Raw genomic sequence first — 18,839 nt, 5'->3', positions numbered from 1 at the left:
TCTCTTCTGGCTGGTAGAGTTTCTGCCGAGAGATCCGCTGTTAGTCTGATAGGCTTCCCTTTGTGGGTAACCCGACCTTTCTCTCTGGCTGCCCTTAACATTTTTTCCTTCATTTCAACTTTGGTGAATCTGACAATTATGTGTCTTGGAGTTGCTCTTCTCGAGGAGTATCTTTGTGGCGTTCTCTGTATTTCCTGAATCTGAATGTTGGCCTGCCTTGCTAGATTGGGGAAGTTCTCCTGGATAATATCCTGCAGAGTGGTTTCCAACTTGGTTCCATTCTCCCCGTCACTTTCAGGTACACCAATCAGACGTAGATTTGGTCTTTTCACATAGTCCCATATTTCTTGGGGGCTTTGTTCATTTCTTTTTATTCTTTTTTCTCTAAACTTCCCTTCTCGCTTCATTTCATTCATTTCATCTTCCATCACTGATACCCTTTCTTCCAGTTGATCACATCGGCTCCTGAGGCTTCTACATTCTTCACGTAGTTCTCGAGCTTTGGCTTTCAGCTCCATCAGCTCCTTTAAGCACTTCTCTCTATTGATTATTCTAGTTATACATTCGTCTAAATTTTTTTCAAAGTTTTTAACTTCTTTGCCTTTGGTTTGAATTTCCTCCTGTAGCTCGGAGTAGTTTGATCATCTGAAGCCTTCTTCTCTCAACTCGTCAAAGTTGTTCTCCGTCCAGCTTTGTTCCGTTGCTGGTGAGGAACTGCGTTCTTTTGGAGGAGGAGAGGCACTCTGCTTTTTAGAGTTTCCGGTTTTTCTGCTCTGTTTTTTCCCCATCTTTGTGGTTTTATCTACTTTTGGTCTTTGATGATGGCGATGTACAGATGGGTTTTTGGTGTGGATGTCCTTTCTGTTTATTAGTTTTCCTTCTAACAGACAGGACCCTCAGCTGCAGGTCTGTTGGAGTTTGCTAGAGGTCCACTCCAGACCCTGTTTGCCTGGGTATCAGCAGCGGTGGCTGCAGAACAGCGGATTTTCGTGAACCGCGAATGCTGCTGTCTGATCGTTCCTCTGAAAGTTTTGTCTCAGAGGAGTACCCGGCCGTGTGAGGTGTCAGTTTGCCCCTACTATGGGGTGCCTCCCAGTTAGGCTGCTCGGGGGTCAGGGGTCAGGGGTCCACTTGAGGAGGCAGTCTGCCCGTTCTCAGATCTCCAGCTCCGTGCTGGGAGAACCACTGCTCTCTTCAAAGCTGTCAGACAGGGACATTTAAGTCTGCAGAGGTTACTGCTGTCTTTTTGTTTGTCTGTGCCCTGCCCCCAGAGGTGGAGCCTACAGAGGCAGGCAGGCCTCCTTGAGCTGTGGTGGCCTCCACCCAGTTCGAGCTTTCCGGCTGCTTTGTTTACCTAAGCAAGCCTGGGCAATGGCAGGCGCCCATCCCCCAGCCTCGCTGCCGCCTTGCAGTTTGATCTCAGACTGCTGCGCTAGCAATCAGCGAGACTCTGTGGGCGTAGGACCCTCCGAGCCATGTGCGCGATATAATCTCCTGGTGCGCCATTTTTTAAGCCCGTCGGAAAAGCGCAGTATTAGGGTGGGAGTGACCCGATTTTCCAGGTGCCATCTGTCACCCCTTTCTTTGACTAGGAAAGGGAACTCCCTGACCCTTTGCGCTTCCTGAGTGAGGCAATGCCTTGCCCTGCTTCAGCTCGCGCATGGTGTGCTGCACCCACTGTCCTGCGCCCACTGTCTGGCACTCCCTAGTGAGATGAACCCGGTACCTCAGATGGAAATGCAGAAATCACCCGTCTTCTGCGTCGCTCATGCTGGGAGCTGTACACTGGAGCTGTTCCTATTCGGCCATCTTGGCTGCCCTCTGGCATTTCTCTTAAAGTTGTGAATCAACTCATACATTCTTGTATCTTCTAAAACACTTATTCTAGTTCTTTATATTTACTCAAAACATCCATTAAATTACAACACATTTATCTAAGTGAAAGTTAACTTAAATTTCCTTCAAGAAAGTCATAGTAACTATTCTGAGCATTAATAATTGTTCACATCTCTAGTGCATTCAATAAAAGTTTGCTTCACAGACTTCCAACTACCTAATTTACCAGGTGAATCAATTCTGTGCATTCCTTTTTAAGACATGCTGACTGCTGTACATGGCAACCCTGAATACTTGTGACTAATAGGTGACTGTCTTATACATCTGCTCAATACCAGGTTTACTGTATGCTAACCAGGATGTTTGTTTCCAAACCTGTTTATGCCAGTTATTGTTTTTTTATGGTACTTATATAATTTAGTTAAACAAATGTAGTGTGAATACAACAATATAGCTATTTATGGGAAAATAGTGTCAGAGTAGTTAATGGAAGGTTCTGTAAAAGATTATAAAACCTTGGTGGCTTAAGACAATCAAAATGTATTTCTCATTCACTTTGCAGTACAGTGGGTTGAGGAGCCCTCCTCATATTAGACCAGCTACCATCAAAGTTTGCCTTATCAGAGAAAGAGGAGGATGAAAATAATTTGGAATATTTTTATGGCCAGGCCTAGAATTGGCTTGTCATGTGGCTCCCAATCTAACTGGAAGAGAGGCTGAAAATGGTTTCCCTGATGCCCAGAGGGAGAAGATGAGGAAATGATATGGTGTACACAAAGCGTTGCCACTGCCACAAAGCTTAGTTGAATACTTAGGAAAGACCTGATAATGATTAAAGGCTTCATATTTTCACTCCATGTATTTTCACTCCAATATATAGGTGATGCATTTTGACTGTGGCTTGTACAAGAAAGACTGTACACAAAAGATTATTTGTTACGATTCCCTGCTTTAGTTTACTTTGGGACTTACCTAACTTGCATTGTTTCCTGATCTCATTAAATAGGAAGGACTCTTCAGGAGAGGCAGTATTCTGTGCAGGTGAGAGCAGGTTTTGGAGACAGATAGCCTGGCTTCAAATTCCAGTGTTGCCACTTACTAAGTGTAGGACCTTAGACAAGTTACTCATACTCTCTGTACCTCACTTTCCTTACATATGAAATTTGGATAATAAAGCACATATTTCATAGGGTTGTTGTGAAGATCAAATGAGTAAATGTGTAATAAGCACTTAGAAGAAAACCGTGCACATAGTTAACTACTATATAAGTGATAGCCAGTGTTGTTTATTAGTTTGATTATCATTACCATCAATGCTGCACGATTTCAATTCAAAATTTTCTCGAGTGCCCACAATATGAAAGACACTATAATAAATATTTGTGTAACTCAAAGTACTTTCTTTAGTTGAAAACAACAAAAACCAACTCTGGGTAAAATTTGACAAAAGAAAAGGAAAGGAAAGGAATTTCTACAAACCAGACTTCCCAGAGGACACTTACCAAGACAGCTGTAAGGTTCTGGGCAGCAGGCAGTGTGAGAGCTGAACAGTGTCTTCAACAGACTGCCACTGGGAGAGTCGGCTTTAGCTATTCTCAGTTTTTGAGTCTTCTCATTTCTGGTCAAAATTATAGTGAATGGGTATCTGATTGATATTTGGAAGCTCTTGGAAGACATGTCCAGCTGTTCATCAGAGATACACCTTTATTGAAACACTGTATCCAATAGGAGAAGAGTGGTTTCTTAAAAATACATCTTCCTCCAAAGAAGGGAAAATGAGTGTTGGATGTGGAAAAATATTAATTGTCTACTTCAGCACCATAAAGAGAAAAAAGATTGAAAAGTCCTTTAAGCATCTGAGGTCAAGGATGGAAAATGGGATAAGCACATAAGTAATTAGGGCAAGCAACAAGTGACCGCAATTATAATGTTCATGTAGGGTAGATATGACAAGAAGGGTGGGTTGAAAGGTATTGGATGGCAGGAATAAGAATTTAAATTTGATGATGGGCAGCAGTAATTAAAAGTTTCCAGGAAAGGAGTAACTTGAATTAGAGTTGGCTATGGTTTGGATGTGGTTTGTTTGTCTCCACAAAATCTCATGTGGATACTTGGTCCTCAGCGTTGGAGGTGGGACCTAATGGGGGGTGTTTGGGTCATGGGGGTGGATTCCTCGTGAATAGATTAATGCCCTCCCTTGGAAGTGAGTGAGTTCTCCCTGTATTAGTTTCTGCAAGAGCTGGTTATTAAAAAGAGCCTGGCACCTCCCCCTTGCCATATGATCTCTACACAGGTTGGCTCCCTTTTGCCTTCCTTCACGAGGCACTCACCATATGCAGATGCCCAAACTTAACTTTCCAGAATGAGCCAAATAAATCTTTTTTCTTTATAAATTACCCAGCTTCAGGTATTCCTTTATAGCAACACAAAACAGACTAAGAGTAATAAAGTAGAAAAAATTAATTTGGCATCCATGTGTAGGATAAACTGAAGTAGAGGAGTCAGAAGAGGTTGTTTTTGACTCGTCAGTCTATTCAGTTATTCAACCATTTATTGAATGCCTATTAGCCAGCTGGTATTCTATGAGCTTTAAAAATAGCAGTGAATTTTAAAAATAATACCTGTTCTCATCTTTACCTTTTAGTGGGGTGGCACAGACAATAAACAATTAAGGAAGTTACTATGTCATCTGATGATAGATTCTGAAAAAAAAAATTAAACTATGATACACTCTTGAAATTAATGGTACTGTGTATGAGCTGGGGAGCTTTTTTATATAGAGAAGTGAAGGAAGGCCCCTAGGCTAGGTAGCATTTGAGTGCAGATCTAAATGACATGGTGGAGCAAGCCATACAAACTTTTTGGAGGAAGAGCAGTCTAAGCAGAAGTAACAGCAAGTACAAAGGCCCTGAGTCAGACACTTGCACACTTGCATATGGTAGTGGATAATTATTTAAACCTCTGTGCAAATAAATAAAAAGTAGAGCCTCTCTAAGTCAAGACTGTTAAATGAGAAAGCATGGTGGGTTAGATGATCGAAGGAAAGCACAGATATTAGGAATAGATCAGAGCAACACATGGACACCTAAACGAATCTCAACTCAATAAGTACTGTGACAGAAGTAAAGCAGGTTGAAAAACATAACTAGGGAAAGCTTTTTTTGATAAAGTTGTTAGATGGAGCTTCTCCAAAGAGGTGATATAGGAGCTGAAGGAAAACTCTATATTGGATTATAATAATATTAAGACTGGGAGTCCAAACTTTAGAGCTTAATGATGCTTGATGTCTTTGTTCATCTTCCCTTGCTTGTAACAGAATACCTGAAATGGAATAATTTATAAAGAAAAGTAATTTATTCTTTGTAGTTTTGAAGGCTGAGAAGTCCAAGCTCAAGGTGCTATATCTGGTGAGGGCCTTCTTGCTCTAGGTGGTACAGGGCATCACATAGTTAGGGGGCTAAGTGTGCTAGTTCAAATCTCTCTTCCTCTTCTTCTTCTTTTTTTTAATTTATAAAGATAAGAGGTTTCTTTGGCCCACAGTTCTGCAGGATGTACAAGAAGCATAGCACCAGCATCTGCTTCTGGCAAGGGCGTCAGGCTGCTTCCACTCATGGTGGAAAGGGGAAGGGGAGCTGGCATGTGCAGAGGTCACATGGCAAGAGAGGACGCAAAAGCCATTAATCCTGCTCCCATAATAACCCATTAATTCATTAACCCATTAATCTATTAATCCACAAATGAATTAATCTATTCTTGAGGGCAGAGCTCTTAAAACCCAATCACTGCTTAAAGGGCCTCTCAACACTGCCACTTTGGGGCTTAAATTTCAACACGACTTTTGGAGAGGACAAATACTCAAACCATAGCACTTGACAATGAAGTTTGATTTAATTTGACCACCCCTGCTGCAATTCATTTTCATTAAGTTTCTTTACATGGAAATGACTGGTTGCCATTTTCTGTAGGGCAATTTTTAATAGACTTAAACACAATCAAAATTATAATTGTGTTTCATAAGGTATATAATTCATAAGGTTCTACCTGTGAATATTATTGTTGCAGTTCATAAAGTAATTATAATTAGTTCAAAATTCTATGTAGAATTTCACTACTTCTCATCTTCCCATTTCTACTTCCCTGGGCCAAGCCAGAAAATTACAGAGTTTTTCCAAAAATATATAGTGAAGATCTAGAAAGTGCTATTTTAAAATTCAATTTATTCCTTTCATTAATGTAAAGATAACATTATATTTCTTTCGAGTTTTAAGAAAATCTACTTTTTTCTGTCAATCAAATTGAGATTCATTTTGAGATATAGATGAATTGCAGAAGAGACTTCTATGGGGTTGTAAAGAGTGATCTGTAATCTGCCAGTCATATGTATTGGACCCTGGTTATGTGCAAAGTAGCACTGTTCTACATGCGCTTTCCTATAAGATGCCTCAGCCATGGGCCTTTGCTACTTCAATTTGTAATCATATCAGTATTGCTCTCTGTCTTCTGCTCTCCAGATCACCAAATCTGACCAAATCAACTGTTGTGAGTTTGACCCCAGCACACCAAATGCAGTTCCTCCCTGTCATAATGTAGCTTCTTTTATGTGTATCCTCATCCATCAGAAATAGGAAAATGTGTTATTATCTTGTTCCCAATATCACAGAGTCCACCAAAATTCTCTAATGGTTGGAAATTAATGCTAAAAGGAAGGGAAATGTGAAGTTGACAGTTTTATTCGTTCATTCAAAAAATACTTATTAACTATACACTGAATACTAGAATACACTGATCAAATATGTTTACCTCTCATGAGCCTTAAAGACTTCTTGGAGTGGTAGATAATCAATAACAAATTAAAGTAAGTACTGTGGTTGAAGATGAAGCCTGTTAAGAAGAAAAGAGCATAGTTAGAGGAGCCACTTTAGATAAGGTTGTTAAAGATGGCCTCTCTGAGGAAGTGACATGGGAGCTGAAAGATAAGAATGAATGCACAGCTATGCTAGAGCAGTGTGGAAAATCATTCCAGGGAGAAGGAATAAGAAGGGCAAATGCTGGAAGGCAGGAAGGGACTTGGGGTATTTGAAGAACAGAAAAGAAGGCCATGGTGGCTGGGGCATAACGAGGAGAGGGGAAATGCTATGAGATTAGAGACATAGGCAAGAGCTAGATCATTGGGACTGTGTAGGTCATGGTAAGGAATTTGGATTTTATTGTTGGAATAATGATATATCATTGGAAGATTTAGGGTAGAGAAGTGACATTGTCTGATTTACATGTACAAAGCTTGTAGAAGGCAAGATGTTTGAAATAATTTAGGTGAACAATGATGGTTATGATTGGGGTGACTGTGCACATAGGGAAGAGTAGACCGATTTCAGTTTATTTTGGAGATAGTACTGACTGCACTTGGCGGGTTGAATGCAAGAGGTATGGGAAAGGGAGGAATCAGGGTAGATTCCTAAGACATTGTCCTGAGCAACTAGGTGACATTTGCTAATTTAAGGAAGACTCAAAGACTGACAGTTTTTTTTTTTTCTTTTTTTTTTGAGACGGAGTCTCACCCTGTCATCCAGGCTGGAGTGCAATGGCATGATCTTGGCTCACTGCAACCTCAGACTGACAGAATTTTTTTGCTGATAATTTATAAGCTCAAGTTTGAACATACTAAGTGTAGAGTTGCCAATTAGGCAATTAGATGTAAGTAATATGAGCTCAGGAGAAACATCAGAGACAGAGACACAAATTTGGGCAACATTATATATTGGTAGTATTTAAAAGCCATGAAGGTGAATGATTTCATATCATTTGGGAAAAGAAGGCTTCTCTGTATCAACTCTTGAGTCACTCCGACTTCCTTCATTCATTTATTCAACACACATTTATTGAGTTCCTGCTATACCAGGCAATTCTCTATGGAATTGTGATCACAGTAGTAAAAGGAGACATGTATTATTTGCCGCCTTCTTCTTCTTTTTTCTTCTTCTTCCTCCTCCTCCTCTTCCTCCTCTTCTTCCTCTTCTTCCTCCTCCTCCTCTTCTTCCTCTTCCTCTTCCTCCTCTTCTTCTTCCTCTTCCTCCTCCTCCTCTTCTTCTTCTTCCTCCTCCTCTTCTTCCCTCTTCCCTCTACTACTACTTCTACTACTTCTTCTTCTTTGTCTTCCTCCTCCTCCTCCTCTTCTTCCTCTTCTCTTCTTCCTCCTCTTCTTCCTCTTCTTCTTCTTCCTCCTCCTCTTCTTCCTCTTCCTCTTCCTCCTGTTCTTCTTCCTCTTCCTCTTCCTCCTCCACTTCTTCCTCTTCTTCTTCCTCCTCCTCCTCTTCTTCCTCTTCCTCTTCCTCCTGTTCTTCTTCCTCTTCCTCTTCCTCCTCCACTTCTTCCTCTTCTTCTTCCTCCTCCTCCTCTTCTTCCTCTTCCTCTTCCTCCTGTTCTTCTTCCTCTTCCTCTTCCTCCTCCTCCTCTTCTTCTTCTTCCTCCTCCTCTTGTTCCTTCTCTCTACTACTACTTCTACTACTTCTTCTTCTTCTTCTTCCTCCTCCTCCTCCTCTTCTTCCTTCTTTCTTCTTCTTTCTTCTTTCTTCTGTCTTGCTCTGTCACCCTGGCTGGAGTGCAGTGGTGTGATCACAGCTCACTGCAGGCTGGACCTCTTGGGCTCAATAGGTCCTCCTGCCTCAGCCTCCTGAGTATCTAGGACCACAGGAATGTGCCACCATGCCTGCCTAATTTTATTTTGTTGTTTTTGTAGAGACAGAGTCTCACTAGGTTGCCCAGGCTTAGACTTCTCTTTAGTAGAGGATTCAGAAAATAAACCAATAACCAATAGATATGTAACTGTAACTTTGTTGTATAGAGGAGGAGCAGCAGCCAACTGTATGGAGTTGGTCTGGGTGAGTAGGAAAATGTTTTCCTCCTGTATATGTTCAAGGTTTTCCAGAGAAAACCAATAGGAGGTGTGTGTGTGTGTGTGTGTGTGTGTGTGTGTGTGTATGTATGTGTGTAAAGAGAGAGGTGATTTATTATGGGGTTTGGCTCACATGATTTTGGAGGCTGAAGAGCTCTATAATATGCTGTTTGCAAGCTCTGGTGAATCAGGGAAGCTGGTAGCATGGCTCAGTCTAAATCCGAAGTCTTGAGTGGCTGGGAAGCTGATGGTGCAAGTCCAAAGTCCAAAGGCTGCAGAACCTGGAGTTTTAATGTCCAAGAGCAGGGGAAGATGGGTGCCCCAGCTCTAGGAGAGACATCAAATTCACCTTTCCTCTGCCTTTTTGTTCTCTATATGTCCTCAGCCAATTGGATGGTGCCTGCAACATTTGGTGAGAGTGGATCTTCCTTACTCAGCCCATTGATTCAAATACCAGCCTCTTCCAGAACACCCTCACAGACATACCCAGAAATAATGTTTTGCCAACTCTTTGGACATCTCTTCATTTAGTCAAGTTGACACCTAAATTTAACCATCAAAAGCCACCTACCAGTGATGTCATGGAAGCTAAGAGAAGACAGTAATTCAAGAATAGTTACCTTCTTTAAATGTTACTAAGAACAAGAGTAAGACGGAGGCTGAGCTGTGACTGTTTTGGCAGATTCTGTGAAATAGTGAGACAAAGACCACATCTTAGGGCATTGAAGAATGAATTGGAGGTGAGGAAGTAGAGAAAGTGAGTGAAGATGGCTGTTTTAAAGGAATTTGCTATGAAGGGAAGCAAGTAGGACCATAGCTAATGGGAGATGTAGGATTAAGGAAGTATCTTTTAAAAATAAACAAACAAAAATGAGAAGATATGACTGCAGAGCATGCTTGTGATTGATGGGAATGGTCACAGTGGGGAAGGGAGTGACAGGAGACCGTTGAAGGAGCAGCCTTTGGGGAGATGAAAGGAGATGAGATCCACTGTGCATATGGAGGGAATTGCTCTTTGATACAACCAGTCTTATCTCTCATTGCAACAACAGGGAAGGCAGAGAGGATTGAATGATTTCAGCTAGGTTTGTAGATTTGATGGTGTGGCAATGACTAGCTTCTGCTCCGATGTTTCTGTTTTTCCAAAGAGGTATTAAGCAAGAATGGAAAGAAAGGGGTTTGAGAAGAGAGGGAAAGACAAGAAATATCATCTTGGAAAGTGGAAAATCAAGTTACGCAAGAAGTATAGCAGAATTGCTGTACATGAGGGAGGGCCCATCCAAAGTTTTTGGTCATAAATTTAATGTGAAACCAATCAACCAATTCTGTAACTTTTTCCAGCCACTTTGAGCTGCTCCGTTCTCAGCACAGAGAAAGCATATAGCTGGATTCATCCAACATTGTACTTTTGTGAGGTGAATGCAATGATTGGAGACTGGAGGAAAGAAATTAAGGGTATTAGCAAGAGAACGAAGGATCATAAAGGGAATTTAAGAAGGGAATTAAGAAGGGACTAAAAGCAGGAGGAATGCACAAGGGGCTTGGAAGGGGATTTTATTCATTCAGTTTACTCAGTCACTCAACAATTGAGCTCCTACTATGTGCCAAACCTAGTTGTAGGCTCTGTGGATATAATGTATTTATGAAGAAGACTGACCAAGTCCTCTCACAGAGTAGGGTGAGATGGACAATAAAGAATTAAAAGCAGCTGGGCGTGGTGGCTCACGCCTGTAATCCCAGCACTTTGGGAGGCTGAGGCGGGCAGATCACGAGGTCAAGAGATTGAGACCATCCTGGCCAACGTGGTGAAACCCCGTCTCTACTAAAAATACAGAAATTAGCTGGGCATGGTGACGCGTGCCTGTAGTCCCAGCTACTCAGGAGGCTGAGGCAGGAGAATCGCTTGAACCCAGGAGGCAGAAGTTGCAGTGAGCTGAGATGGCACCACTGCACTCCAACCTGGTGACAGAGCGAGACTCCATCTCAAAAAAAAAAAAAAGAATTAAAACCAGTAAGTTTAAGGTTGGATATTTCTAAGGGCTATGGGGAAACATAAAATAGGGTAGGGGATAGAGAGAAACAAGTGGAAGAGGAGGGAGGTAGTGATTAATATCCCTTCCCAGGTGGCATCCTGGGAAGATAACCTGCTCCAGTGAAATTGAGCAAAGACCTGAATGAAACAAGGGACCAAACCTTAAAAGAGCTGTGGAAGTAGTGTGCAAGGCTGAGGGGACAGTGAGTGCTTTCCTATTTTTAAATGTCATTAGTAGTTGAATAGTAAGGCAAAAGAAACCATGATAAGGTATTTTTTTCCTTCCTTATTGTATTTTTAACTGGTGTTCTCATGATACCATGACACAGCTGGTTTAAGCAAGTAGGTGTTGTGCAAAGGTCATTAAAGTAAGCAATTGGTTCAGTCAAAAGTCTCATGTAAGTAGATCAAATGTTTAAAATAAGTATAAATATGCCGTATGTGATCTATTAATGTCCAGTTTGACACTTCGTTCTCCAGTGCCCAGCATTGGAATAACACCCATTCCAACTAGTAATAAGATTCAGTTGATATTTGTTGAATAAATTTTCATGCCTACATACAATTTAACACTTAGAAACACAACATCCCCCTCCAAACTTTTTCTAAAAAGTTCTTCTAAAGGAAGAGTTTGAACACAAACCCGAGGTCTCTTACCTTGAGAATGTGGGAACGTTCTTTACATGGCTTTGTAAAAAATTTAGATATAATTCACATACCATTGAAATTCACTCTTATAAAGTATACAATCTATGGCTTTGTGTGTGTTCACAAAACTGTGCAATCATCACCATTACCTAATTCCAGAATATTTTTATCACCCTAAAAAGAAACCTCAGCTGGGTACGGTGGCTCACTTCTGTAATCCCAGCACTTTGGGAGGCCAGGGTGGGCGGATCACAAGGTCAAGAGATAGAGACCATCCTGGCCAACATGGAGAAACCTCATCTCTACTAAAAATACAAAAATTAGCTGGGCATGGTGGTGCACACCTGTAGTCCCAGCTACTCCAGAGGCTGAGACAGGAGAATCGCTTGAACCTGGGAGGCGGAGGTTGCAGTGAGCCAAGATCACGCCACTGCACTCCAGCCTGGCAACAGAGCGAGACTCCATCTCAAAAAAAAAAAATAAAAAACCTCATGTACATCAGACCCATTAGCAGTCACTCCACATTCCCCACTCCTCCCAACCCCTGGCAATAACCAATCTACTTTCTGTCACTAAGTATTTGCCTATTCTGGACATTTCATATAAGTGGAATCACACAATATATATCCTTTTGTGTCTGTATTATTTCACTTAGCATGTTTTCAAGGTTCATTCATGTTGTAGCAGGTGTCAGTACTTTATTCCTTTTTATAGCCGAAGAATATTCTATTATGTGACTATACCATGTCTTGTTTATCCATTCATCAATTAATGGGCATTTGGATTGTCACCACTTTTAGGCTATTATGAATAATTCTACTATTTGCATTTGTGTTGATATTTTTGCTGTGGACATAAATTTTCAACTTTCTCAGATACATATGTACAAATATAAATGGCTTTATAAAGATTTAGAAAATGTTTTATCTTACTATTTCATACTTAACTGCATAATATATATTTTAAAAGAATACATTAAGTTATCACCAGTTATTTGCTTAGGTTACTAGTTGAATTATTTAACTTTTCTCCAGAAATCTAAGTACCATGGGCCTTATAGGAAGGTGTTACCTGTGTCCTGTGGCTCTGCAGCCCCCTTGCTCGCTGCTTGCTGCAAGGGTGGGAGCTGCTGTTTCAGTACCATTCTGATGGGGCACTGGGAACGCAACTCTGAACGGGTGCTGGCTTGTCTTTTCATCAATAAATACTACTTCTTCCTTGAGCTAGATCTCTTATCTGCCAGTTCATTCTCAGACTGCTAAACTTTACTTTGTCTGTATTGTCTAAGTTTAAAGTCATAAAACAAAAAGTAAATATAATTCATGTAGGTGACATTTGCAAATAGAAGTTTAGAAAAAATGCTTTCAGAGTCTTATAGGAAAAAGTTGACTGTCAGCCTTGTGCCCATTAATTCACAGAGACAGGGCTGGAAAATAGAATAAAGAAATACTGTCACTTCTGTTTTTTGCATAAGGAAGAAAGAATTATAGGCATTTGTAAACACTCAGACAGTCATAGACAACAGTCAGACATTTCTACTAATTTCCCTTAACAGTCAGCCTTGTTTCTTTTCATCATATTCTAGCATTTACATACCAGTAGTTTTAAAAAACAGGTACAAGCATAAAGCATAATTGTGTTATCCAAGCATAGTCAAATTATGCAATGTATTATGCAGTTGGCTCTCCTAAATGTCATGCTGGATATAGTTTATCCCTCTCACAGTGAGTCAGAAGCGGGAATGGGTTCATTCACTATTTCCAGAAAGCAGCTTACCACCAGCAGGTGCTGTAACTAGTGGGAAAGGGTAAGACTGGAATGCACACTTATTTAGGGATCTCTGAAATGTACCCTTTGGTACTTACATAAGGGCTATGTGAGGCCACAGGCAGCTGAGAGTGTTGGCAGTACCTGCAGCTACTCCCCAGCTTAGAAGAGGCTTCCAATCCCCTATGCATCTGGGAATGTTTGTCCCTAGCACAAACCTGAGAACATGTGCTGTGTACTACTTTGTGGTCCAGACATGAGTCTCAGCTTTGCCACTGTCTATGTGATCTTGGACACATCACCTTAGAATCCAAGTCCCTCATCTGTAAAATCAGGGAGGCCGACTAGTTGACCTTTACAAAACTCTTTTGGCTTTAAAATGCTATGGCTCCACAACTTAGTGGTTTTAGATGCCAAGTATGGTATATCGGAGATGAGTAATATATAAAGGTATTAAGAGCTCAGGCCCTAATGTTTTACAGAACAATCTTTGAGTCCTGTGTGACCTTGGGCAAGTTTACTTAACTTCTGTAAGCCTGCATTGTGTTAGCCTTAAAGGGGAGATGATGATAATAGTTCCTAGCTCATAGGGCTATTGGGCGTAAAAACGGCATTATAAATGCAGTCTTTAGCAACGCCCAATACATCATAAGATTCAATCTTTATTAATAATAAGTAGTGTTGTTACTTTCTTTAGGGACATTTTATCCTAATAATATATTGTTCCCTTTAGAAATAAATGAATATAAGTCTAGCAAATTTTAATAATATTCTGAAGTATGCAGACTAAAATTATGTTTAAAAGATTGTAACGAATTAGCCATAAACTAAACTTTTAAAAAATGTATGATTTAGATGATTGAATGGCAGGAATGTTGGGGAAGAAATGGGATATGGAGGATTATGGAATAAGTGAAAAAAATCTGACTGACTTTCTCAGCCTTCTTGTTGCCTATAATTTTCCTTTTATGTATTATTTTCCTATCTTAATTTGGAGATGGAATCATCTATGGAAAGCTTATCCAAGTTAATGGCTATTCGGAAGTGAGGCTCTGCATTATTGAAACAACAAAACAAACAAGATTACTGTCATTTCTGTTCATCGTGTATGAATAAATAATAAATCTATACAGTTATGCCTCAGCTGCCTCCTTGTAATTTCTGCCATTATTTTGGCAAATGTTCTTTTGGTGTGAACCAAGGACTTGGAGGTTTAATAATTCTGGAAACAGATACTCATATATTCTTCCACAAGGTGTTAATACAAAACTATCACCGTTTAATAGTGGTTTGGTAAATTATCTGAAGGAAATTGTTTAAGGTCAAGTATGTAAAGAGTCAGAATACATCTGTAAAATGTAGGGAATGTTGGCGACTTTAAGTTTGTTGGTTGATATTTTGGAGATTTAACTATTCACTTCTCAAAAGAAGAGCAAGCTGTCTATACTGGATATGTATGTGATAAAATGACATAACAGTGCAGATATGATTTTTAATGATCATCTCTGAATATATGTACTGTACATCTCTCACCTACTCCATCACCATCTTATCTTACTTTATTGTTGTATATGACATGTAAGAGGAAAAGTTTTGACTCCGTACTACAATTTCACCAGCTTCTGATGTGAACAACTCAATCCAGAAATGCTCTCTCTTCAAAACTGTTTTTCACTACCTTGTAATTTTTGGTTAGGGTAAGTGTTCTTTAATCTCTAATGTTTCCTTTATACTTCTTTTGTAGGAGGTCTATTATAAGAACTCCCTGCCCATCCTTTTAACAAGAGGCTTAGAAAGAGACATGCCAAAACCACCTCCAAAAACCAAGGTAAACTATGTTTTCTCTGTAGGCGACCATGTGAAATCTTTAGCATGGTTCTTTGTTTTTTGTTGTTTTTGTTTGTTTGTTTGTTTGTTTTGAGACAGAGTCTTGCTTTATCGTCCAGGCTGGAGTGCAGTGGCGCAATCTCAGCTCACTGCAACCTCTGCCTCCTGGGTTCAGGCAGTTCTCCTGCATCAGCCTCTGGGGTAGCTCGGACTAAAGGTGCGCACCACCATGCCCAGCTAATTTTTGTATTTTTAGTAGAGACGGGGTTTTGCCATGTTGGCCAGGCTGGTCTCAAACTCCTGACCTCAGGTGATCTGCCTGCCTTGGCCTCCCAAAGTGCTGGGATTACAGGCGTGAGCCACCATGCCCGGCCAGCATGTTTCTTGATGCTCTCCTATTTCCATGTTCTGTTGATTGCATTTCCTTCAGCCCTTTTGGTTTTTTATTTGTTTGTTTTTTCAGGGAAGTAGGCATGAGGGAGTGTTGCGGGAGGATCTGGTGGTATAAAAGCACTTTTTATACAGTACCTTTAATCCATGGTTGTATTCAGCCAAAAATTCTTCAGACACTCCTATTATTGAAGAGATAGTGATAATTTTTAGTAGATGGTTTTACTTCTGCTCAATAACAATTGTGGCTATGAGACCATGCCTTTTGCAGGAACATGGATGGAGCTGGAGGCTATCATGCTTGGTAAACTAACGCAGGAATAGAAAACCAAATACCACATGTTCTCACTTATAAATAGGAGCTAAATGACAAGAACTTATGAACACAAAGAAGGAAACAACAGACACTGGGACCTCCTCGAGGGTGGAGGGTGGGAGGAGGAAGAGAAACAGAAAAGATAAGTATCGGGTACTGGGCTTAATACCTGGGATGTGATAATATGTACAACAAACCCTTGTGACACATGTTTACCTATGTAACCTTCACATGTACCCCCAAACGTAAAATAAAAAATTTTGAAAAGAAATATATAAAAAGTAAAATGCCAAAAAGTTCACTATTAAGAAAGAAAAAGGACCAGTCTGGCCAACATGTTGAAACCCCATCTGTACTAAAAATACAAAAAAAATTAGCCAGGATTGGGTGGCGGGCTCCTGTAATCCCAGCTAACTGGGAGGCTGAGGCAGAAAGAATTGCTTGAACCTCAGAAGCAGAGGTCGCAGCGAGCTGCGACAAGAATGAGACTCCATCTCGTTCATACATACATACATATATACACACATACATACTTACATATAATTTTTTCTAGCCTCTGACATAGGAAATAGTCAAGTGCAGTAGATCTTCCTAGGGTACCTCTAAGCATAATAGAAATGCATGAGATGCATTTTCCCTTCTGGGCGTAAAGTAAAATGTTCAGCTGTAATTTTTTTAAATAAAAATCACTGTATGATGTTTCATAATTATGAGGAACACATAATCAATGGAAAGTATTTACATAAATTTTAATAAGAAAAAATAAAAACTATTATAGATATGATAGCATAAAGGCGTTAATGTGTAAAATTTTGTTTCCCTTAGTAAGAAAAAATCCAAAATGCTGATAATTGTTTTGCCAGTGAAAAGAAAAATTTCTTTTTTCTCTTCAACTTTGATTTTAGGTTCAGAGGTACAGGTGCAGGATGTACAGAGTTGTTACATAGGTAAAGGTGTGCCATGGTGGTTTGCTGCACAGATCTCCTACCATCACCTAGGTATTAAACCCAGCATCCATTAGGTATCCTTGCTTATTCCCTCACCCTAAGCCACCCCACTGACGGGTCCCAGTGTGTGTTATTCCCCTCCCGGTGTCCATGTGGTCTCATGATTCAGCTCCCATTTATAAGTGAGAACATGCAATGTTTGGTTTTCTATTCCTGTGTTAGTTTGCTGAGAATAACGGTTTCCAGCTCCATCCATGTCCTAGAAAGGACATGATCTCATTCCTCTTTATGGCTGCATAGTATTCCATGGTGTATGTGTACCACATTTTCTTTATCCAGTCTATGATTGATGGGCATTAGGGTTGATTCCATGTCTTTGCTATTGTAAGTAGTACTGCAGTGAACATACATGTGCATGTATTGTTATAATAGAATGATTTATATTCTTTTGGACATATACCCAGTAATGGGATTGCTGGGTCATATGGTATTTCTGGTTCTAGATCTTTGCAGAATCACCATATTCTCTGCCACAATGGTTGAACTAATTTACACTTCCACCAACACTGTAAAAGCATTTCTTTTTCTCTGCAACCTCATCAGCATCTGTTCTTTCTTGACTTTTTAATAATAGCCATTCTGACTGGCATGAGATGGTATCTCATTGTGGTTTTGATTTCCATGTATCTAATGATCAGTGATGTTGAGCTTATTTTCCTGATTGTTGGCCACATAAATGTCTTCTTTTGAGAAGTGCCTGTTCATGTCCTTTACCCACTTTTTAATAGGATTTTTTTTCTTATAAATGTGTTTAAGTTCCTTGTAGACTTGATGTTAGACCTTTGTCAGATGGATAAGTTACAAACATTTTCTCCCGTTCTGCAGGTTGTGTGTTCACTATGGTGACAGTTTCTTTTGCTGTGCAAAAGCTCTTTAGTTTAACTAGATCCCGTTTGTCAATTTTTGCTTATGTTGCAATTGCTTTTGGTGTTTTCGTCCTGAAATCTTTGCCCATGCTTATGTCCTGAATGGTATTGCCTAGATTTTCTTGTGAAGTGTTTACAACAAATGTAAAACCCAAAACTCTAAAAATCCTAGAAATCTTTAATCCATTTTGAGTTAATTTTTGTATAAGGTGTAAGGAAGGGGTCCAGTTTCAATTTTTGGCATATGGCTAGCCTGTTCTCTCAGCACCATTTATTAGAGAATCATTTTCCCATAGTTTGCTTTTGTCAGTTTTGTCACAGATGAGATAATTGTAGGTGTTCGGTCTTATTTCTAACTTCTCTATTCTATTCCATTGGTCCATGTGTCTGTTTTTGTACCAGTACTATGTTGTTTTTATACCAGTACCATGCTGTTTGGTTACTGTAGCCTTGTACTATAGTTTGAAGTCAGGTAGCATGATACCTCCAGCTTTGTTCTTTTTGCTTAGGCTTGTCTTGTATGTTTGGTTCCATATGAATTTTACAATAGTTGTTTTCTAATTCTCTGAAGAACATCAATGATAGTTTAATGGGAATAGCATTGAATCTATAAACTACTTTGAGCAGTATGAGTATTTTCATAATACTGATTCTTCCTATCCATGAGCATGGAATGTTGTTATATTTGTTTGTGTCCTCTCTGATTTCTTTGAGCAGTGATTTGTAGTTCCCCTTGAAGAGGTCCTTTACTTCCCTTGTTAGCTGTATTTCTAGCAATTTTATTTTATTCTTTTTGTAGCAATTGTGAATGGGAGTTCATTCATTATTTGGCTCTGTTGTTGGTGAATAGGAATGCTATGATTTTTTGCACATTTCTTTTGTATCCTGAGATTTGCTGAAGTTGCTTATCAGCTTAAGAAGCTTTTTGGGTGAAATAATGGGATTTTCTGGATATAGGATCATGTCATATGAAAACAGGGATAGTTTGACTTTCTCTCTTGCTATTTGAATACGGTTTATTTCTTTCTCTTGCCAGATTGCCCTGACCAGAACTTCTGATATTATGTTGAATGGGAGTGGTGAGAGAGGGCATCCTTGTCTTGTGTCAGCTTTCAACGGGAATGCTTCCAGCTTTTGCTCATTCAGTATGATACTGGCTGTGGGTTTGTCATATATGGCTCTTATTATTTTGAGGTACATTCCTTCAATACCTAGTTTATTCAAAGTTTTTAACATGAAGTATGTTGAATTTTATCAA

The 18,839-nt window shown here is 39.8% G+C and overlaps 1 protein-coding gene across 18 annotated transcripts in view; it reads left to right on the top strand.

The window, feature by feature from the left end:
• The window catches only part of FAM13A (family with sequence similarity 13 member A), a 331,226-nt gene that overhangs the window by 135,804 nt on the left and 176,583 nt on the right, over positions 1-18,839 (top strand). For 13 of the 18 annotated variants that reach the window (XM_047449479.1, XM_011531516.2, XM_017007624.3 and 10 more), the window contains one exon: positions 14,920-15,003. The exons of the other annotated variants lie outside the window; for them this stretch is intronic. In XM_047449479.1, the coding sequence (XP_047305435.1) occupies positions 14,920-15,003 (84 nt within the window). The remainder of the gene's footprint in view (positions 1-14,919; positions 15,004-18,839) is intronic. 18 annotated transcript variants of the gene reach the window in all.

The sequence above is a fragment of the Homo sapiens genome, chromosome 4 (assembly GCF_000001405.40).
Source record: "Homo sapiens chromosome 4, GRCh38.p14 Primary Assembly".
NCBI lineage: Eukaryota > Metazoa > Chordata > Mammalia > Primates > Hominidae > Homo > Homo sapiens.
Note: the sequence above shows the minus strand (reverse complement) of the source record. Positions and strands in the feature narration are given on the sequence as shown.